General features: G+C 38.9%; 1 protein-coding gene across 8 annotated transcripts in view; it reads left to right on the forward strand.

Annotated features, from left to right (window-relative positions):
• Positions 1 to 24612, forward strand: part of TEX9 (testis expressed 9) — a 216038-nt gene that overhangs the window by 43475 nt on the left and 147951 nt on the right. The gene's annotated exons all lie outside the window — the stretch shown is intronic.

Consider the following 24612-nt stretch of genomic DNA (forward strand, 5'->3'; position numbering starts at 1 on the left):
TGTGATGTTTTAATATATGTATACATCATAGAATGGCCAAACAAAGCTATTTAACATCGTAGTACCTCATATAATTATTTTTTATGGTGAGAACACTTCAAATATACTTAGCAATTTTCAAATATACAATATATTGTTATTAACTGTAGTCACCATAATGAATAATAGATCTCTTAAACTTATTCTTCCTAACTGAAATTTTTTGTCTTTTGACCAATATCTCCTCAATCCATATAACCCCATCAGACTCATGTAGTGACCATTTTCTCTCTGTTTCTGTAAGTTCAACTTCTAAAAGTTCTACATATAAATGAGAACATATGGTATTTGTTCTTCTGTGCTTGCCTTATTTCACTTAACTTAATGTCCTCTGGGGCCATCCATGTTGTCACAAATGACAGGGTTTCCTTCCTTTTTAAGATTGAATAGTATTCCGTTGTGTATATATATATTTTCTTTATCCATTCATTCATTGATAAACACTTAGGTAGATTCAATATCTTGGCGACTGTGAATAATGTTGCAACATGAACATGAGAGTGCAGACATCTCTTTGACATACTGATTTCATGTCCTTTGGATATATACGCAGTAGTGAGATTGCTGGATCATATGATAGTTGTATTTTTAATTTTTTGAGCAATCTGCATACTATTTTCCATAATGGTTGCACTATTCATAGTCTCACCCACAGTGACAGTGTACAAGGGTTCCCTTTTCTCCACATTCTTGCCCACACTTATCTTTTGTCTTTTTGATAATAACCATTCTAAGAGGTGTGAGGTGATACCTCATTGTGCTTTTAATTTGCATTTCTTTGGTGATTTTTTTTTTACTAGTTCGCTTTTTACTAGCTTTTACTAGAATTTTTTTTTACTAATTAGTTTTCTACTTTCTCATGTTTTTTTGTGTTACTAATAAGCATCTTTTTCTTTCAGCTTGAAGGACTCTCTTTAGCATTTCTTAGAAGACAGGTCTAGGGGTGATAAACTCCCTCAGATTTTGTTTCTCTAGGGAAGTCTTTGTCTGTGCTTTATTACTGAAGGATACGTCTACCAGATACAGGATTTTTGGTTGGGAGTTTTTTCCCTTCAGCACTTTGAATATATTTTCTCACTCTCTCTTGGCCTGTAAGGTTTCTGCTGAGAAACCCATTGCTAGCCTTTTCAGAAATCCCTTATATACAATTTGTTTCTTTTCTCTTGCTGCTTTCAGGATCTTTTCTTTGTCTTTGATTTTTGGCAGTTTGATTATAATGTCTTGGTGTAGTCTTGTTTGTATTGAATCTGATTGGAGGCTTTTAACTTTTCCATACCTGCATATGTATATATTTTCCCAGATTTGGAAAGCTTTCTGTTAGTTCTTTAAATAAGCTCTCTACACTTTTGTCTCTCTCTTCATCTTAACTCCTATAACTCTAATGTTTGCTTTTTTGATGCTATCCCATAAATCCTATAAGCTTTCTTCCTTCCTTTTCATTTGTTTCCCCCTTAGTGCATATTTTCAAATAACCTTTATTTCAGTTCCCTGATTCTTTCTTTTGCTTTATTCTGCTGTTGATGTTCTCTATTGCTTTTGTCATTTAATTCATTGCATTTTCAACTCCAGAGTTCTTGTCTGATTTTTAAAATATAATTTCAATCTCATTGTTTAATTTCTCATTTTGGTCATTTATTGTTTCTCTGATTCTATTGAATTATTTCTCTGTATTTTCTCGAGGTTTTCTGAGCTTCCTTTAAACAATTATTTTGAATTCTTTGTCAGACAGCTTGTATGTCTCCATTTCTTTGGAGTCAGCTACTGGGAGATTGTTGTGTGCTTTTGGTGTTATGTCTTCTTGTTTTTTTCATGTTTCTTATTGTTTTATGTTGATGTCTATTCACTTGGTGGAGCAGTTGCCTCTTTCAGACTCTGTAAGTTAGTTTTGCTGTGGAAAGATCTTCCCCTACAAGAAGGGGGAATATAAAGGCACTTGCTGGGTAGGGTGCAGCAGTTCTGGCACCATTGAGGGTTCCAGATGTGTAGTGTCTGTGTAGCTCTGTCAGCTGGGGGTTGTGTTGATGAAGACTGCAGGAATCCTTCGCAGCTAACACTGTGGCTATTCACAGTGGCAGTGAGGGTTGCTCAGTTCTTAAGCAGTAATTAATGGCTGCTAAGGTTCTCCTGGTTTCTTTTGCTCTCATAGGGGAAGTTGTGGCTGAGGGGGTTTCTCTTGGCACTGGGTCTGGCGTGTGGGCTCACTTGCAGTGGCAGTGGCACTGGTGACTGATGAGTGACCCCTATGGAGTGGCCATGGAGCTGAGGCCTGAAGCACAGACATGCGTGGACTACAGCTCTGGGATCTAGGGTGGTAATGGCATTGGTGCCCAGGGAGCAGGCACCCCTGCCACCTCATTGGTAACAGAATGTGAGGCACAGATGCTTGTAAAGCAGCCGAGGAGCCAAGAATGGGAGCACAGACATGCTCGGAGTTACAAAGTCTTTGGCATCAGGCTGATGTCTAGCTCTCTATGGCAGCTGAGCCAGTTCTGGAGTGTGGCCATGGGAAGCAAGGGATTGGCTCTGGAGTGTGAATTAGCTAACTATTGCAGTGTCTCTGGTGTCTGAGATGTGGGCAGACTCGATACAGCCATAGTGCCTGGGTCTGGAGAGTGGGTGCACGTGGAGCTGCCATGCCTCTAGGATTGGAGCACAACTGGGTTCGGGAGAGGTGTCAGCTTTTTTTCCAATGTAGTTCAAAAGCAGCTGCTTCTTGTGTGTCTGTTGGGGGGCAGAGGGGTGCAGGGAGGGTCATGCACTCACATCTCTCTCTCTCAGGTTCCTCTGTGTAATGGGTGTTCATTACCTCAGTGGCAAGAGATGCCAGTGTCCTCTGTAGAACAGGCTGCTAGGGATTGTGCTGATTCTTGCTGCATGGCTGATACCAATAGCCACCACCTTTCTTTTTTGCTCCTAGTGATCTCTTGGTGTCTCAGGTATGTTGATTTCATCAGCAAGCCCTGCCCCCCCCAGTTTTTTTCAATACAGGTCTTGCTCTGTCACCCAGGCTGAAGTATAGTGGTGCAATCATGGCTCACTGCAACCTTGACCTTCTACGGTCCTCAAACAGTCCTCCCACCTCAGCCTCCCGAGTTGCTGGGACTATAGGCATGCACCACAATCAATACCAGCTAATTTTTTTAATGTTTATAGAGGTGGGTTCTCACTATGTTGCCCAGGGTGGTCTTGAACTCCTGGGCTCAGGTGATACCCCAACCTCAGTCTCCCAAAGTGCTGGAATTACAGACGTGAGCCACTATGGCTGGCGACCAGCAATCCTTTCTATGTGGTTATTCTCCTTTTTTTTTTTTTCTTTTTCTCCATTGTGTTGCTGCAGATTCTTTAATAGGCTCTTGAGCCCTCTCTGGGCTATTTTGGTTTGTGACTAGCTGTCATTGTTTTTTTATGGGAGAATGAAGGCCTTTATCTTCTACTCTGCCATCTTGGTTGACAAAGTACATTTTGGTCATGGCACAGCAGACAGCATAAGCTTTTATGTTTCCCTTTATCACCCAGTTTCCATGGGGATGATATGAAGGTGAGATCAGGTAGATTTTGCACATGTGGTGAATGTAAACCAAGTCCCAATTGAAGTATAAAGAGAAGTAAAGCTTCTGATAAGGAAATGATCCTGATGCACCTAGATGTTTTAGATTTAGAGTTATTCATTGATACAGATTGTAATATAGATTGAGACCCTTTTCTAAATACATATGTGAAAGATCTAGGTCAGAGATGTTGCAAGTCTGAGTAGGAGAAAAAGGGATGCTATTGACCTTCATTATGACCATAGAATGTGATTTGAAACTGAAGGACCAACGATGCTTGTTTTCACTTTGGATGGTTGAGAGGATCATTTACACTACCTTGTGGAGACCTCTTACTTGGTGGCAAGTTGATAACATAAGACAACATCCTCCCCCCTATTTATTATATTTATTCATATTTTTAATTGACAAAATTGTATATATTTATGGTATACAGCATGATGTTTTGATATATGTATACATTATGGAATGGTTGAATCAACCTAATTAACACATGGATTACCTCACATACTTATCATTTCTTTGTGGTGAGAATACTTAAAGTCTACTCTCTTAGCATTATTGTTATTAACTCTAGTCACCAAGATGTCCAGCAGATCTCTCTTGAACTTATATCTCTTGTCTAACTGAAATTTTGTATCCTTTAACCAACATCTTCCCAATTTCCCCACTCCCCCCAACTTCTACCTTTGAAAGAGCAAAGATTCATTCTGACTATGATTTTCTTGGGTATGGGTATGTCTTTGTTTTTCATAGGGCTTCAGCCAATTCTACTCTCAGAGGGCTCATGGAGCATTTAATTTACTGATATGAGATCCCACATAACATGTCCTATAACAAAGGACCCACTTCGTGGCAAAGGAGATGAGGCAATTGGCACATGACTGTGGCATCCTTTAGTACTATCACATAACAGCACAACCCACAGCTGTTAGCTTGCTAATGTGGTGACATGGCTTCAGGATGCCTCAACTGAGGCGCTGGCATAGAAATGACTTCCATCTGAGAAAGAAGCACTATTCTTCATAATGCTGTATACATCTCAAAGTGATGATTATTATATGGTGCTATGTTCCCCATAGTTAGGATACATGGGTTCAGGAATGAAGGGGCAGAAATAGTAGTATCCTCATGCAGCATCATGTTCTTGGAGATTTAGGATCTGTGGGTCTACAGGTCTGTATTGCCAGGGGTGGCGTCCTCTTACCAAGGAACATAGAGTACCTATAAACTTAAAGCTATAGCTGCTTCCTGGTTACTTTGGGCTTCTGGTTCCTCTGTGGCAGCTGGAAGGCAGAGAGAGTAATGAACACACTGGCAGAGAGCATCATGAAGAGGAAGGACTATTGATATATATGAGGGAAGGAAGAAATGGTTTTGGTATTCAGGTGATCCCCTAGGACATCTCTGAGTATTCCTGTGCCTGGTTTTAACACTATACAGGCAAAAATAGCAACTACAGCCTGGGAAGGGCCTTAGACCTTTTGGCAGTGAGGGTCTGAGCTACTCCACCAGGGCAAACCTAGACCACTGGAAATGTTTGTCAATGGGGAGGGGAATCTAGAATGAGTGGTAGAAGAGGGAGATGTCCCTATCTCTGAGCTGCTGTCAATGTGGCTAATATTAGCTCACAGCTATACCCAGTTCTGGAAAAATGCCTTGGGCCACTAGGAGCTGCCTTACCTAGAAATGCCTGAGAAGTAATCCACCATTCCTGACATACATGCAGTGGTGGCTCATACCCAATAGCTGACTGATATGGCGGTACTAAGCCCCTTGCCTCAAGGTGGGTCAATTTTGAGGTGTAGTCATGCCAAGATCTTCCTGTGGGATCAGGCTATGGCTAGATCTCAACTTTTCACACTCATTTTTGTGCTTAGCTTCTTTCCCTATGCTATCCTGCTTCCCTCATATCCTGTTAGCTTTCTTCTGAGAATACCCCTTCAGTAAGTCATTTGCACAAGAATCCTGTCTCAAGTTCTACTTCTAAGCGATCATGACTAAGACATTTCCTTCTTGGCCAGGTGCAGTGGCTCACTCCTGTAACCCCAGCAGTTTGGAAGGCCAAGGCAGGAGGATCACTTGAGCCCAGGAGTTTGAAGCCAGTGTGGCCAAGATAGTGAGACCCCATCTCTACAATATGAAAAAAAAAATGAGCAGGGCATAATGGCACGCTCCTGTAGTCTCAGGTACTCAGGAGGTTGAGAAGGGAGGACCCCTTGAACCCAAGAGTTTGCGGACACAGTAAGCCATGATTGTGCCACTGCACTCCAGCATGGGCGACAGAGTGAGACCCCATCAGACGCACAAAAAAGACAGTCCCTTCTTTGCCATCTAAAAAATAAAAAAAATAAAAAGAAGGAAAAAACAAAAAGAAAAATCCTGGGGAAGAATTCTGACAGACTTGGCATGTAGTAAAGAATTTTCCAAAGAGAGGTCTGGCCTTTGCCCAACTACCAGGAAGTGATCTGTAGGCCCATGAATGTTCTGCCTAATATAAATTCTATTCTAGAATGTTCTGGGGTGGGGGGTGTAGTTTGGCCACCACATGGCCTACAAATGTAATTTATGACGGGGCTTTGGGCCGCAGGGTATCAGTTTTGCCTCCAGAAGGGACTGGAGATTACAGGTATCAGCCTGACCTCAAAAGGTCAGCCATGCAGGCAGTATGTGATCAAGCCCTAGTAAAAACTCTGGTTACCAAAGGTTTGTGTGAGCTTCCCTGGCCAGCCATGTGTGTCTCACATTGTGGCTGGAAGGATTTAACACCATCCATGACTTCATGCAGGGAGGATGACCAGAAGCTCCACATTTGGATCCCTCCTGGACTCTACATGTCTCTTCCCTTGGATTTATTAATCCCTGTATTAAACCATAGCTGTGAATATAACAACTTTCTATGAGTTCCACGAATCCTTCTAGTGAATTATCAAGTATGAGGGTATTTGGGGAACCCCCACATTTGCAACTGGTGTCATAAGTGAGGGCAGTCTTGTGTAGACACTGCTCCTTCTGACTGTACAGTTGGATAAACTCTCACACCTGGCTTGGGTCTTATCTCTACTACCCCTGGTGCCATGACTAGGACCATCTGGGTAAAGTGCAGTCCACTAGTGCATATGATTGGAGCTGGGAGGGAGGGGAGCTAGAGGGATGGACTGTCAAAAAGATGTTTCACTTTCACTAGCGTTTTCTAAGACCCGTTATCTGCCCTGCCTTGACAGAAAAGTCTGCTTGTCCATTCAGATTGTAGCTGATCCTGCTTCTTGTCTTTTCCTTCCTTTCCTTTCCTGCATCAGGGAGAAACACTCTCCTCTCACTCCTAACCTTGACTCTTCTTCCTTCAGATGCCCAATGTATGTTTTTTGTTTGTTGGCACATCTAACATTATTTTACTTGGAAATCAGTGATATATTAGTATTGTAGCCTTCTCAACTAATGCACATATTTACATCTCCTGTACTGTTTTTATCTCTGGCCAATGATTTTCTAATGTTAAAATATTCCTTTACAAAGAAGCTTCTTTGTTAACAGAAATAATATGGCATCCATATCAACTTCTTTACTATCTTAAGGAGCCTTTGGTAATTTTCATTTAAATTTTTATAATCCTAGCTAATAATATTACCTCATTCCTTGGCTTTTCCTGTGTTAGTTGATGTGAGGGGCTTGAGAGTAGCTGGGAGGAAATACCATGGTAATGCTTGGGTATAACCCAAACAAAGGAAATATAAATTGGAATTTGAATATCAGCAGATTTCAAACACAAATTCTGTTTCACTTAGGGTTAGCTTAGGAACTGGGGTAGTATATCTATATACCAATTAGGGAGGTAAAAAGGCAGACACTAAGAGACCAAGGTAGAGACTGACAAGGGTAGACATTATCTAAAGCTTTCACTAATACCTAAACTTAAAAGGACCAGTTAACATGAGAACATCACAGTAGTGAAGGCTGTATGTTTTTTCATATATATATATGTTAAAGTAAGCCTAAATATATATAAATATACTTTTTTCCTTAACTAGTAATAAACTATATATTTTTAATTCTATAATATAAGCCTATTTCTTCTCAATTGCTTTATGGAACAAGTGCAGTATCCAGAAACAGACACAGTTCTGACCTTATTAGCTGAAGGACTGGGGACCATTTATTGTACCTTTCTGAGTCTTAGTTTCCTTACCTATAAAAATAGCAATAAGTATAAACACCTTGTAGGATTGTTGAGAGCATTATAGATAATTTACAAAAAATGTTTGGCCCACAGAGCTGCTTTGTAAATGTGGCTATTACTAATAGCTATTATAACATTCTGGGTTTTAAAAAAATAACTCACCAAGTATCCTTATGGAGGTATCACTCTGATGTTCTAACTGGATATACCAGCTAAGCTGGTGTCCAAGTAGAAACCATTCAATTTTGGGTGTTCCATCCTTTCTGCATCTTGAGTAACTTCTTGAGGACCAGGCTGCTTACTAGTTTCTGCCTTCACTGGCCCTGCTCCTTTAAAAGCACTGTCATCTCCACCTGATATTTAGTCTCACCAGGTTCCTGACCATCTCATAGCTATTGCTTTTGCCTTTGTACCTAAAGGAGGCGATATTTTATCAGATTCAAACCACAGCCATTGGAGTATGGGATTAATTTTACTACTTTGTATGCCTAGGGAGAGTCCTGGCTTCTCATATGTCCTAAAGCCACAGTCTTCTGCTCATTCCTCTGTGTTATCCCAGGCCATTTGACCGGATTTTTCCCTTAGTTAACTGTTCAGAATTCAAGCTCCCCATTGGGACAGGAGCACTGGAACCAAATCCATGTGAATGAGATCCTAACAGCCTGCTCTTGAGGGGCTGAATCTTTTTTCCTATAAACCAAAGGCTTTGTTACGCTTCTGCTCCTAAAATCCCAAACTGCTGCCTCTCCTGGCTTCATATTTTCTACTCTCTACCTCTGCCCACTGGAATGAGCCAAATTTCAATGCGGTCTGAACTGGCGGTGAATTTGCCATTTGAATACTAGCTTGCTACCCTGTGACCCAATCCTATAAGTGGATCAGTTCCTCCTTCTGTTCCATCTTAAATTCAAGTCTCAGTATACCCCACGGCCCAGCTTATACAAGCATCAGCTGCTAAGTGCACCCCAGTATTATATCTTTTTTAAAATTCACATAAATTACATTCCATATAATACCTTGTAAAACTACCTGTATTACATGTATGCTTCTTTTAAAATCTAATTACCTAATTCTGTGACATTCATTCTAGTTTGTTACTGAATTTCAAATTCCATTTTGTTTTAGAGCCCTAGGAAAATTGCTCAAGTTTCTTTAATTAGTATCATTTTGGTTGTCAAATTTTCAAGATGAAGACATTGTGTTTCAGCATTATTTAAAGCTAGGGCATTAAAATTAGCTGGGGATTTTTCAAGAATTACTCATTATGACCCAATTTTAAAGGTATTTTAAATGTAACATTTAAAAAGAATTATTAATGTCTGTACTCTATCTCTTTCGGCTACAATATCTCAAAGTTATATAAAAAGTTAATTGCTAGCCAAAGGTTTCACTTTTCACTGTGTAAAATATAATGTCAACTCAATTGTCTGTATTGGGAAAAGCAGAGTTTGAGTAATTCAAAAGTAATTTATATTTGTCTTTGGAATGCTTTTGCCCTTAAATTTGAATATAGGTGAGTCTAACGTCTAGGGAATTCATGTCAAAATAAGGAAGCTGTATTATGAAGATCTCAAATCAGTAAACTGGTGAGTTCAATTATTCTACTTTTTTTTCTTTTTCTTTTTTGTTTTTTGTTTTGAGTTGCTCTCCTAGGTTGAAAGAAGCAAGTTAAGCTCAGTGTCGTTCCTCTTTGGTAGATTAGAATATTGAACGTAGATGTTAATCCATAGGTCTAGGAAGAGTTCCATAGAAGATTAGAAGCTGTTGAAATAAGAATTTTTGATCCCTATTGGGTTATGTGATTAAGCTAAAACAGCAACAACAACAACAACAAAAGAAATACAGGAAACAGAAAAGGAAGATAGATTATATTATAGAAAAAATAATGTTTACAAAAAATACTGTAGAAATTATATAAAGAGAACAGGGAATGGCAACCGGCCAAGCATTATGTTGACTTGGAATGTACCTACCAAGTGCTGCATATTGCATGTCATGAGGATAGAGGTAAAACTGAGAAGGAAATGAAATAATAAGCTAATGAAGTAAAAACTAATATCTTAAAAAATAGGGCGTCTCTTAAGTACTGGTAAGAAATACAAATATATGATATATAAAAACAAATGCTCTTTTGTGTCATTTTGAATAAGTTTTTACCATAAGCATCTTTTATCTATTACCCAACAACAAACTTGAAAATATATGCCTTGAAATTGAAAATCTACAGAATTTGACAATAACAGCAAATGTTCTCCTAACAATAAGTACCTAACACTCTACCCAGGTGGCTTAGTTTTCTACAAAATTTCTTTTGTTTTTTTCTCACTCTGTTGCCCAGGCTGGAGTGCAGTGGTGCGATCTTGGCTCACTGCAACCTCTGCCTCTCTGGTTCAAGCGATTCTCCTGCCTCAGCCTCCTGAATAGCTGGGATTACAGGTGTGAGCCACCACGCCCAGCTAATTTTTGTATTTTTAGTGGAGACAGAGTTTTACCATGTTGGCCAGAATGGTCTTGAATGCCTGCCATCAGGCAATCCACCCGCCTTGGCCTCCCAAAGCGCTGGGGTAACAGGCGTGAGCCACCGTGCCTGGCCACTACAAAATTTCTAAATTAAAAGACAGCATTTGGTAATGTCTTATCTTCTCCAGCGAGACTGTACTTGTCCTGAGGCCAACTACTGTGCCATAATTCTTTATGTCTATCACAGGCTCTGGGGAAACATTTTACACATAGTAGGCACTTTTTAAAAAATGAATGAAAGCATGAATACTGAATGTGTGCTTATCTCTGATTAGGTCTGGATGTTCCAAATAACAAGAACATTGCAATCTGATTGGCTCAGTTATTTTAATACCCCACCAAGTTGCTTCTGCCCATGTTGATTATGTGATCTGCATGGAACAATTATGGCTATTGTAATTTATTTTATTTATACTACATCTCCTTTACAAAAAAGTATTTGAGACAGTACCACCCTGTTTTCATTCTAAATTTCTAGACCACTTCTATCAACAAAAGTTTCTTGATATTAACAAGGAAAATAGTATTTGAGCAGTATCAAGTACCTTTAGCCACTTCCACAATGTTTCTTCAAATATCTCCCTTTAAAAAGTAACTTTTTGACCTCCCCTTTTTAAATTCTTAATAGAAATATACTTTGATTAGTTAGAAATCTAAATTGTATACTAGCTTTTAAATAGCTTAGTATTCAGGTTTCTTTGATATGAACTTATGTAGGAAGTATAGACTTGTAGTTTGTTTATTTTTATTTAAAGATCATAAACCATTTTATTTTTTCTTCATACTTCTCTGTTCTTCCAAAGCATCTACATTGGGCCCATATCATATAATAGAAAAATAAGTTACTATAATTTTTTTACCCTGCCATTTCCTCAAGCTGTCTCATCTGTCCATCCCTTTATTGCTGAACTTGAAGAAGGAGCCCATACACATTACTTTCACTTTTTCAGCGTTCACTCATTCTTTAATCCTCCCAACTCTGGTTTACCACTCTAATGAAACTGCTTTTCAAAGGCCATTGTTGTCCAATCATAAGATTAGGCTCTCTCTTAGGCTTTATCTTTCTCGGTCTTATTTGGAAAAGTACTTAACACAGTGTCCAATAAACAATCAATTCTCAATATATTTTAGTTCTGTTCCTACAAGAATTGCTTACTGTTATTGATTACATGAATAAATTTTTTATCTGAGTAAATTATTGCATCACAATTAAAAGTTATGTAGGAAGATGACCAAATAGAATACTCCAGCAATTGTTCCCCCCAAACCCCTTCAAGGAATGCCATATTGAGCAACCATCTACCCAATAAAGCACCTTCATAAGAGCCAAAAATCAGGTGAGTGATCACAGTACCTGGTTTTAACATTATATCAGTGAAAGAAGAACTGAAGGGAGAAGGAAAGACAGTCTTTAATTGCTGACGCCACCCCTCCACCATGCCCCAGCAGTAGCAATGGCCCTGTGCCACAGAAATAGAATCTGTGTGCTTGGAGAAGGGAGAGCATAGTGGTTGTAGAACTTTGCATTGGAACTCAGTACTGCCCTGTCACAGAAGAAGCCACACAGCGCAGAAAGTAGCCAGTGCCCATGGAGGGAGCATTTAGACCTGCCCTAGCAAGAGGGGAATTGCCCATCCCAGTGGTTGGAACCTGAGTTCTGGCTAGCTCTACCACCATGGGCTAAAACACTCAGGGTCCCTAAATAACCTTGAAAAGCAGTCTAGGCCACAAGGACTAGAATTCCTGGTCAAATCCTGGTGCTGTTCTAGGCTCAGAGCCAGTGGACTTGGGGTACACATGACCTAGCGATATACCAACTGGGGTGGCCAAGGGAATGCTTGTGTCACCTCTCCCCTAAACCCAGGTAGCTCAGCTCGAAGCTCCAGGAGATACCCCTTACTTCCATTTGAGGAGAAGAGAGAGAAGAGTAAAGAGGACTTTGTCTTGTAACTTGGATACCAGCTCAACCGCAGTACAATGGGGTACTGGGTAGAGTCATAAGGCCCCCATTCCAGGCCCTTGCTCCAAAATGACATTTCTAGACACGCCCTGAGCCAGAAGAGAACCTGCTGCCTCTTCTGAAGGAAAGGACCCAGTTCTGGCAGGATTAATCACCCATTGACTAAAGAGACTCTGGGCCCTGAATAATCATCAGTGGTAGCCAGGCAGTACTCACCAGGAGCCTTGAGTGAGACACAATATCCTGTTGGCTTTCAGTGGCCATGAGGAGAGACTCTCTCTGCTTGTGGAAAGGAGAGAAAAGAGTAAAGGAGACTTTGTCTTTCAGCTTAAATATTGACTTGGCAACAGCGAGGTACAGCACCAAGCGGGTTCCCGGGGTCCCCAGTTCCAGTCCTTCACTCCTGGATGGCATTTTTTGAACCGCCCTGGACCAGAAGGGAGCCTACTTCCCTGAAGGTAGAGATCTAGGACTGGCAGCATTCACCACAAGCTGAAGAGCCCTTGGGCCTTGATCATCGCAGTAGCCAGGCAGTACTTGCTGTGGGCCCTGGGGTGATGATGGCCATGAGGAGAGGCTCCTTCTACTTGAGGGAAGGAGAGGGAAGAGTGAGAAGGACATTGTTTTGTGGCTTGGGTGCCAGTTCAGACACACTTTAATGGAACATCAAATAGGTTCATAAGGTTCCTGACTCCAGGCCCTGGCTCTTATATGGCATTTCTGGACCCACCCTGGGCTCAGGTGGAGCTTGTTGCCTTGAAGTTCCCATGCATGGCTGGATTTGCCTTCTAGACAGAAGCCTGGCTGGATTTGCCATCTGCTGATTGTAGAGCCCTTGGACCTTGAGGGAACATAAGCAGAAGCCAGGCAGTGTTTGCTGTGGGCCCTGTGTGAGACCCAGTATTGTGCTGGCTTTGGGTCTGACCCAGCACGTTCCCAGTGGTGGCCACAGGGGTGCTTGTGTCATTTCTCCTCCAGTTCCAAGCAACTCAGCAGAGAGAGAGAGAGAGAGAGAGGGAGAGAGAGAGAGAGAGAGAGAGAGAGAGAGAGAGAGACTTCATTTCATTTGTTTGGGGAAAAGTAAAGCAAAAGTCTCTACCTGGCCCTAATGTAGATATAGCTGCAGTGACCAAATACTTAGATCACAAGATTCAATTCCCTTTGAATACTTGGAAAGCTTTCCTAAGAAGAACAGGTACAAACAAGACTAGGCTGTGAAGACTACAGTAAATATCTAACTCTTAACTGCCCAGACACTGAAGAATATCAACGAGCATCAAGACCATCCAGGAAAATGTGACCTTACCAAATGAAATAAATAAGGCACTTGGTTGACAAATCACAGAGTGAAAAGAATATGTGACCTTTCGGACAGAGAATTCAAAATAGCTTTTTTGAGAAAGCTCAATGAAATTTAAGATAATACAGAGAAGGAATTCAGAATTCCGTCAGGTTAATTTAATGAAGAGATTTGATAATTAAAAAGAATCAAGCAGAAATTCTGGAGCTGAAAAATGCAATGGGCATATTAAAGAATGCATTGGTTTCTCAACAGCAGAACTGGTGAAGCAGAAGAAAGAATTATGAGCCTGAAGACAGGCTAGAAGACAAAAGAAAAGCGAATGAAGCATGCCTACAAGATCTAGAAAATAGGCTCAAAAGGGCAAATATAAGAGTTATTAACTTTGAAGAATAACAGAAAATTTTCCAAACTCAGAGAAAGATATCAATATTCAAGTATAAGAAGGTTATACAACATCAAGCAGATTTAACCAAAAGAAGACTACCAAAAGGTGTTTAATAATCAAACTCGCAATGGTCAAGGATAAAGAAAGGATGCTAAAAGCAGCAAGAGAAAAAAAAATGAAGAACATAAAAAAGAGCTTCAATACATCTGGCAGCAGACTTCTCAGTGTAAACCTTATAGCCCAGGAGAGAGTGGAATGATGTTAAAGTGCTGAAGGAAAAAAAAAAAAACTTTTACCCTAGAATACTATATCCAGTGAAAATATCCTTCAAGCATTAAAGAGAAATAAAGACTTTCCTAGACAAAAACTGAGGAACTTCATCAGCACCAGCCTTGTCCTACAAGAAATGCTAAAGGAAGTTCTTCAATCTGAAAGAAAAGGACATTAGTGAGCAATAAGAAATCATTAAAGGTAGAAAACTCAATGGTAACGGTAAGTACAGAGACAAACACAGCATATTGTAACATTGTAATTGTGTGTAAACTACTCATATCTTGAGTAGAAAGACTGAAAGAAGAACCAATCAAAACGAATAATTACAACTTTAAAAGACATAGTATAATAAAATAGAAATAGAAACAACAAAATTAAAAAGCAGGGGCATGAAATTAAAGCATAGAGTTTTTATTAGTTTTCTGTTTGCTTAATTGTTAGTTACTTTGTTTGCTTTTGTTAGCAGTGTTAAGTTGTCATTAGTTTAAAATCATGGGTTATAAGATGTTATTTCCAAGCCGCATGGTAACTTCAAATCAAAAAACCTCCAACAGTCTGGGCACAGTGGCTCATGCCTTTAATCCCACCACTTTGTGAGGCCAAGGCAGGAGGATTGCTTGAGCCCAGGAGTTCAAGACCAGCCTGGGCAACAGAGCAAGACACTGTTTACACACACACACACACACACACACACACACACACACACACACGAACATAAAATAGCTATGTGTGCTGGCATGCACCTGAGATCCCAGCTACTCAGAAAGCTGAGGTGGGAGGATCACTTGAGCCCAGGAGATCAAGGCTGTAGCGAGCCATGATTGCACCACTGCACTCCAGCTTTGATAACAGAGCCAGACCCTGTCTCAAAAGCAAAATAAAACAAAACAAACCTACGAAAGATACACAAAAAGTAAAAAGCAAGAAAGTAAAACATACTGCCAGAAAAAAAAATCACCTTCACAAAAAGAAAGGAAGAAAAGAAGGAAGGAAGAGAAGACTACAAAACAACCAGATAACAAATAACAAAATGGCAGGAGTAAGTTCTTACTTATCAATAATAACAGTTAATGTAGATAGACTAAAGTCTTCAATCAAAAGACATGGAGTGGCTGAATGGATTAACAAAGAAGACCCAATAATCGGTTGCCTATTCCAAGAAACACACTTCACCTATAAAGACACACATAGAATGAAAATACAGGGATGGAAAAAGATGTTTCATGTAAATGGAAACCAAGAAAGAACAGGAGTCATTATACTTACATCAGACAAAATCTACTTCAGGCCAAAAACTATAAAAAAGGATGAAAGTCATTGTATAATTATAAAGGGGTCAATTCAACAACAGGATATAACAATTGTTAATAGATACACACCCAAAACTTGAGCATCCAGATATAGACAGCAAATATTACTAGAGCTAAAGAGAGAGATAGACCCCAATACAATAATAGTTGGGGACTTCAACACCAACTTACAGCATTGGACAGATCATCCAGGTAGAAAATCAGCAAAGAAACATTGGACTTGATCTGTACTATAGACCAAATAAACCTAATGGATGTTTATAGAACACTTCATCCATAGCTACAGAATATACATTCTTCTCTTCAGCATATGGATCATTCTCAAGGATAGACCATATGTTAGGCCACAAAACACGTCTTTAAAAATTCAGAAAAATTGAAATAATATCAAGTATCTGACCACAATAGAATAGAACTGGAAATTAATAATAAGAAATTTGGAAACTATACAGATACACGGAAATTATATGATATGCTCCTGAATGATCAATGAAGAAATTAAGAGAAATTTAAAACTTTCTTGAAACAAATGAAAATGGAAACACAACGTATCAAAACCTATGAGATACAGCAAAATACGTACTAAGACCAAAATTTATAGCAATGAGTGCCTACATCAAAATAGAAGAAAAATTTCAAAAACAACCTAATGATGCATCATAAAGAACTAGAAAAGCAAAAGCGAACAAAACACAATATGAGTAGCAGAAATACATGAAATGGAAATGAAAAGGACAATACAAAAGATCAATGAAAGGAAAAGTTGACTTTTTGAAAAGAAAATTTACAAACCTTTATCCAGAATAAGAAAAGTGAGAAGACCCAAATAAAATCACAGATGAAAAAGGAAACATTTCAACCGATACCACAGAAATTCAAAGGATCATTAAAGACTATTATGAGCAAGTATATGCCAATAAATTGGAAAACCTAGAAGAAATGGATAACTTTCTAGTCACATACAACCTACTAAGATTGAACCATGAAGAAATCCAAAACATGAACGGACTAATAACAAGTAATGAGATTAAAGCTGTAATAAAAAGTTTCCCAGCAAAGAAAAGCATGGGATTTTATGGCTTTAGTGTTGAATTCTAACAAACACTTAAAGAACTAATATCAATTTTACTCAAACTATTCTAGAAAATAGAAGGAGAGAGAATACTTCCAAACTCATTCTACGAGGCCAGTATTACTCTGGAGTGCAGTGGTGTGATCATTATGAAAACAAGGATATTTTGACTTCTTCCTTTCCAATTTGGACGCCCTTTATTTCTTTCTTTTGTCTGTTTGCTCTAGCTAGGACTTCCAGTACTGTGCTGAATAACAGCGGTCAAAGTGGACATCCTTGTCTTGTTGCAGATCTTAGAGGAAAGGCTTTCAGTCTTTACCCATTTAGTATGATACTAGCTATGGGTCTGTCATATAAAGTTTTTATTTTGTTGAGGTATCTTCATTCTGTATCCAGTTTTGTGAGGGTTTTTATGAAATGATGTTGAATTTTATCAAATGTTTTTCAGCATCTATTAAAATGATTATATGGTTTTTGTCCTTCATTCTGTTGATATGATGTATCACATTGATTGATCTGTGTATGTAGAACTATCCTTGCATTCATGGGATAAATCCCACTTTATCCCATGATGGTCATAGTCATGATGAATGATCTTTTTAATACATTGTTTAATTTAGTTTGCTAGTATATTGTTGACAATTTTCCCATCAATTTTCATCAGAGATATGGGCCTGTAATTTTCTTTCTTTGATGTGTCTTTGTCTGGTTTTGGTTTCACTCTGTTGCTCAGGCTAGAGTGTGGTGGTGCAATCATGGCTGACTGCATCCTCATACTCCTGGGCTCAAGCCATCCTCCCGCCTCAGCCTCCTGAGTAGCTGAGACCACAGGCATACACCACCATGCCCGGTTAATTTTTGTAATTTTTGTAGAAATGGGGTGTTGCCATGTTGCCCAGGCTGGTCTGGAACTCCTGTGACTCAAGCGAAGCATTGAGCATTTCTATATGCCAACAGTGAACAATCTGGAAAAGAAATCGAGAATGTAACCCCATTTACATTAGCTACAAATACAATTAAATACCTAGGAATAGACTAAAGTAGTAAAAGATCTCTACAGTAAAAACTATAAAACACTGATGCAAGAAATTGAGAAGACACAAAACATGGAAAAATATTCTATGTTCATGGATCGGAAGAGTTAATATTGTTTAAATATCCATATTATCCAAAACGATTTACAGATTCATTGCAATTCCTATGAAAACACCACTGACATTCTTCACATAAATAAAAAAAAAATCCTACAATTTATATGGAACTACAAAAGACCCAGAATGGCCAAGGTCACCTTGAGCAAAATGAACAAAACTGGAGGAATCTCATTACCAGACTTCAAATTATATTACAGAGCTATTGTAATCAAAACAGCATGGTACCTGCAAACAGACACATAGACCAAAGAAACAGAACAGAGAACCCAGAAATAAATTTATAAATCTACAGTGAACTCATTTTTGACAAAAATGCCAAGAACGTACAATGGGGAAAAGATAGTCTCTTCAATAAAAGGTGCTGGGAAAACTGAGTATCTATATGCAGAAGAAAGAAATTAGACCCTTATCTCTTGCCATACACAAAAATCAAATCAAAGTGGATTAAACACTTGTCTAAGACCTCAAAATATAAAACTATTACAAGAAAAGATTGGGAAAGCGCTCCAGGACATTGGACTGGGCAATGATTTCTTGAGTAATACCCCATGAGCACAGGTGGTCAAAGCAAAAATGGACAAATGGGATCACATCAAATTAAAAAGCTTCTTGTAGCAAAGTAAGGAATCAACAAAGTGAAAAGACAACTCATAGAATGGTAGAAAATATTCGCAATCTATCTATCTGACAAGGGATTACTAACCAGAATATATAAGAAGGTCAAATAACTCAAAGAGAAAAAAATGTAATAATCTGATTTAAAAATGGGCAAAAGGAAATGTCAACAGGCTTTTCTCAAAAGAATACAAATTGCAAACAGACATATAAAAACATGCTCAATAGAAATGCAAATCAAAACTACAATGAGATAACACCAGTTAAGATGGCTTTTATGCAAAAGCCAGGCAATAACAAATGCTGGTGAGAATGCAGAGAAAAGGTAACCCTTGTACACTGTTGGTGGAAATGTAAATTAGTACAGCCACTATGCAGAACAGTATGGAGGTTCCTCAGAAAACTAGAAATAAAACTACCAGCAATGCCACTGCTAGGCTGATAGGTACATAGCAAAAAAAAAAAAAAAAAAAAAGGAAATCAGTGTATCAAAGAGATATCTGCACTTCCATGTGCATTGCAGTACTATTCACAGTAGCCATGATTTGGGAGAAACCTAAGTGTCCATCAACAGATGAATAAAGAAAATGTGGTACCTATACACAATGGAATACTATTCAGCCATAAAAATGAACAAGATCCTGTCATTTGCAACAACATGGGTGGAACTGAGGTTTATTATGTTAAGTGAAATAAGCCAAGCACAGGACAAACTTTGCATGTTATCACTCATTTATGGGAGCTAAAAATTAAAACAATTGAACTCATGGATATAGAGTAGAATAATGGTTACCAGAGGCTGGCAAGGGGTTTAGAGTTGGGGGAAGTGGGAATATTTAATGGATACAAAAATATGGTTAGACTAAGATGTAGTATTTTATAGTACAACAAGGTGATTACAGTCAACAATAATTTATTGTACATTTTAAAAATAACTGAAAGACTATAATTGGAATGTTTGTAACATAAAGGATAAATGCTTGAGGTGATGGATACCCCATTTACTCTGATGTGATTATTATGCATTGCATGCTTGTATCAAAATATCTCATGTATCCCATAAATATATACTCCTATGTACCCATGAAACATTGAAAATTAAAAGAAACTTATACCGGCCATTAATACAGTTATATTTAGTTTACCTGTTGCTAATATGCCCAATAAATTTCAACAGTCTTTTTTCACTCATATCCAGGGTAGTTTAAAATCTCAACTCTCCTTTGTTCTTCCTGGCTGTGCTCAGTAACATAATTATTTATCTAAAATACACTTTCCTGGGGGGAAAATGACTAAATATCGGTGAGTACTGGCAGTAGGACACCTGCCCTAGCTTTCTAAGAAATCAAGCTGGCAGCCTAATGAAACTCAGAAAGAGGGATATAAGAAGCTGTTCACTGAATTAAGGTACTTCCACATCACAGGCCACTGGTCTTTTGTCTCAATGTTTATCCTCTACCCTTTCCCCAAGCTTATTGTCTAAACAGCCTCTAGCGAGAGCCTGCATCTGTTACCCAATTTTGGATTCCCCATGCTTTACTGCAGCTCCTCTCCCTAGCCCACCAATCTGGACAGCTGTTTCCAATTTCCCTCACTGGCAATCCCCAGGTGCTACCACCTGGCCACTGCCAGGACTGACGAGATAAAAGGTTTGTAAAACTCTGGGCAGGAAATAGCCTCAACTCTGTGATTTGAATTGAGGTTGATGGGAATAAAACCAACCTACATTTATTAAATGTCCAATATTTGCCAGGCATTTAAAAAATAACAGCTTTGTTGACATAAATTACGTATCATAAAATTCACCCTTTTAAATCATTCAATGCAGTGGTTTTAATGTATTTGTGGAGTTGCACAATCACCAAGGTCTAATTTTAGGACATTTTAATCACCCCCAAAAGAAACCTCATACTCATTAGCATATACTTGTCATTCTCCCCTGCCCCCAGTCTCTGAGTCTCTGGAAACCATTAATCTACTTTCTGTCTTTATGGATTTGCCTATTCTGGACATTTCATAAAAATAGAATTATATATAGCTTTTGTGTCTGGCATCTTTAACTTAGTCTAATATTTCCAAGTTCATCCGTGTTGTAGTTTGGATCAATACATTTATTTTTATATCCTAGTAATATTTCATTGACTGGTTATATCATATTTTGTTTATCCATTCAGTAGTTGATGAACAATTGAATTGTCTCTACTTTTTAGCTATTATGAATAATGCTACTGTGAACATCTGTGCAAGTTTGTCCATGGACATATTTTCAGTTTTCATCAGTATATATCTAGGAGTGAAAACGATGGGTCTTTAGGTAACCACATTTAACTTTTGAGGAACTGCCAAACTGTTTTCCAAAGCAGCTGCACTATTTTACATTTTACCAGCAGTGTATAAGGGTTCCAATTTCTTCACATCCTTGCCAATACTTGTTATTTCCATCTTTTTTATTATAGCCAATCCTACTGGGTGTGAAATGGTATCTCATTGTCATTCAGTTTGCATTTGCTGATGACTAATGGTGTTGAGCATCTTTTCATATGCTTATTGACTATTTGTCTTTAGAGAAATGTCTATTCCAATCCTTTGCCCATTCTTTGATTGAATTATTGGTGTTTTGTTGAGTTGTAAGAGTGCTTTATTCTGGATATTAGACCTTTATCAGATATATGATTTGCAAATGTTTTTTCTCATTTTGTGGGTTGTCTTTTCACTTTCTTGATGATGTCCTTTGAAACACAAAAGCTTTTAATTTTGATAATGTCCAGTTTATCTATTTTTTCTTTTGTTGCATGTGCTTTTGGTATCATATCTAAGAAATCATTCCTGATCCAAGGAATGTTTTTACTCCTGTTTTCTTCTAACAGTTTTATAGTTTTAGCTCTTACATTTAGGCCTATGATTCATTTTAAATTAATTTTTGTATAGTGTATGAGGAAGGGGTCCAACTTCATTTTTTGTATAAGGGCATCCAGTTGCCCCAGGACGATTCATTGAAATGATTACCTTTGCCATTGAATTATTTTATACTATTGCTGAAAATCAATTGACCATAAGTAGAAGGACTTTTTTTCCTGTATTCCCAGTTCTTTACCATTGATCTGTATATTTAATCTTATGCCAGTACTGCACTATCATTAGTGTGGCTTTGTAGTAAGTTTTGAAATCAGAAACTGTGAGTCCTTCAACTTTGTTCTTTTTCAAGATTATTTTGATTATTCTGGATTCCTTGTATTGCTATATGAATTTTATGATAAGCTTATCAATCTACATAAAACATGCTAGCTGGAATTCTGATAGAAATTGTTTTGAATCTGCAGATCATTTGGGGGAGTATTACCATCTTAACAACATTAGGACGTTCATTATCAAGTATGACACTAGCTGTAGGTTTTTTATCGATGGTCTTTCATTAGGTTGAAGAAATTCCCTTCTATTCCTGATTTGCTGAGGTTTTTTATTAAGAAAGGATGTTGGAATTTGTCCATTTTTTCTGTGTTTATTGAGCTGATTCTGTGGTTTTTGTATTTTTTAATTCTGTTGGTATTATATTAGTTGATTTTCAGATGTTTACCTGACTTTGCATTCTTAGAATAAATCCCAGTTGGTTGTAGTGTAAAACACTGGATATTTTATATGGCTGGATGTGGTTTTGCTAGTATTTCGTTGATGGTTGTAACATCCACATTCATAAGGAATATTGGTCTGTAGATTTTTTTCTCTTGTGAAATCTTTGTCTGGTTTTGGTATGGTGGTAATGAATGAATTGGCAAGTATTCTCTCCTTTTCTATTTTTTAATGGAAAAGCTTGAGAAAGATTGGTGTTAATTCTTTAAAAGTTGAGTGGAATTTATTGGTAAAGCATCTGGGCCTGGGATTTTTATGGGAAGTTTTTTTTTTTTTTTTTTTTTTTTTTTTTTTAAAGCAGTGAAACAGATTTTATTCAGTAACAATTAACAGTAGAGAAAAGAGCTGAACTACATTCCGATTTGTGCAGAGGTGACTGGGCTGTTTCAAGGGAGAATGAGAGAGTGGGAGGGGAAATAGTGAGAGCTTGAGTAGAGTCAGGGAAGTGAAAAATCCCAAAAAGCTGGAGGTGGGCACTGGGAGAAGGGGAGGTGGTAGCAGGTTGGTCCATGTGAAACCCATCTGGGTAACTGGCATTTATCAAACTTAGGCTCCTGCCCTCCAAAGAGTCTGGGAGATGGGCCCAATCTTCAGGTGTTGGCTGAAACAAACAGTAAATTCCTCTGGCAGCCTTGAGTTTTCTTAGGCAGGCACTTTAAGGGAGACTAGGGCCATCCTAGGGACGTGGCTTTGATCTCTTAGAAATTCAGTGTTAGTGGGGCCAGGCTCACTGGCTCACGCCTGTAATCCCGACACTTTGGGAGGCTGAGGCAGTTGGACCACCTGAGGTCAGGAGTTCAAGACCAGCCTGACCAACATGGTGAAACCCCGTCTCTACTAAAGATACAAAAATTAGCCAGGTGTGGTGGTGCATGCCTGTAATCCCAGCTATTTGGGAGGCTGAGGCATGAGAATCACTTGAACCCGGGAGGTGGAGATTATAGTGAGCCGAGATTGGGCCATTGCACTCCAGCCTGGGCAACAAGAGCAAAATTCTGTCTCAAAAATCAAAACAAAACAAAAAAAGAAACTCTGCTAGTGTTTGTTCACATCTTTCTAGGCCAAGGTTGAGGCCTAGCGAAGAAGAGGGCTCAGAGGAGCCAAGTAGAGCTTGGTCAAGGACAGAATCTTTGTCAACAGCGCATCCTACTTTCCATTGCTGGTCTATTATGATCCCTGCACCAGCTCTGCCAAGTAGGCTAGCCACTGACATTCTTGCACAGATTCATCAGTGGAAGCCTGGACAGGTTAAAGATAGGTGGCTAGATAATGAGTCATTGCAAATCAGAATAGCAAGTCTTCTGAGCAAAGGGAAAGCAGAGAAAAAGAGGGTCAGGGAGCACAGAACAGAGGCAGCTAATCCAACTGGAGATGGAAACCCTTTCAGGAGTTCCAATGCCAGTCCTTCAGTGGCGCAACCCTGAAACCTCAACAGAGTTTTCAAAATGACATGCACAGGCTTCCACATTTGGGCTCAGTCCCAACTCTCCTTCCGATTGCAGAGAGAGGTTGCTCTGGAAAGTCATAGGGAAGGGCCCTACAGATGACCTCAGACGAACACCCTCTCAACACCCAAGTCTAGAACCCTTCAGAATTTTCTGGAGCTGCCTCCTTCTGCCCTGGCATTTGCACCCACAGCTGTCTGTGCCTTACAGTGTACTTCTCTCCCCTTCTCCCTTGGTGACTCCTTATTTCTTTTTTTTTTTTAATTTCTTTTTTTTTTTAATTATACTTTAAGTTTTAGGGTACATGTGCACATTGTGCAGGTTAGTTACATATGTATACATGTGCCATGCTGGTGCGCTGCACCCACTAACTCGTCATCTAGCATTAGGTATATCTCCCAATGCTATCCCTCCCCCCTCCCCCCACCCCACAACAGTCCCCAGAGTGTGATATTCCCCTTCCTGTGTCCATGTGATCTCATTGTTCAGTCCCCACCTATGAGTGAGAATATGCGGTGTTTGGTTTTTTGTTCTTGCGATAGTTTACTGAGAATGATGATTTCCAGTTTCATCCATGTCCCTACAAAGGACATGAACTCATCATTTTTTATGGCTGCATAGTATTCCATGGTGTATATGTGCCACATTTTCTTAATCCAGTCTATCATTGTTGGACATTTGGGTTGGTTCCAAGTCTTTGCTATTGTGAATAATGCCGCAATAAACATACGTGTGCATGTGTCTTTATAGCAGCATGATTCATAGTCCTTTGGGTATATACCCAGTAATGGGATGGCTGGGTCAAATGGTATTTCCAGTTCTAGATCCCTGAGGAATCGCCACACTGACTTCCACAATGGTTGAACTAGTTTACAGTCCCACCAACAGTGTAAAAGTGTTCCTATTTCTCCACATCCTCTCCAGCACCTGTTGTTTCCTGATTTTTTAATGATTGCCATTCTAACTGGTGTGAGATGGTATCTCATTGTGGTTTTGATTTGCATTTCTCTGATGGCCAGTGATGATGAGCATTTTTTCATGTGTTTTTTGGCTGCATAAATGTCTTCTTTTGAGAAGTGTCTGTTCATGTCCTTTGCCCACTTTTTGATGGGGTTGTTTGTTTTTTTCTTGTAAATTTGTTTGAGTTCACTATAGATTCTGGATATTAGCCCTTTGTCAGATGA

Source organism: Homo sapiens, chromosome 15, assembly GCF_000001405.40.
Source record: "Homo sapiens chromosome 15, GRCh38.p14 Primary Assembly".
Taxonomy (NCBI): domain Eukaryota; kingdom Metazoa; phylum Chordata; class Mammalia; order Primates; family Hominidae; genus Homo; species Homo sapiens.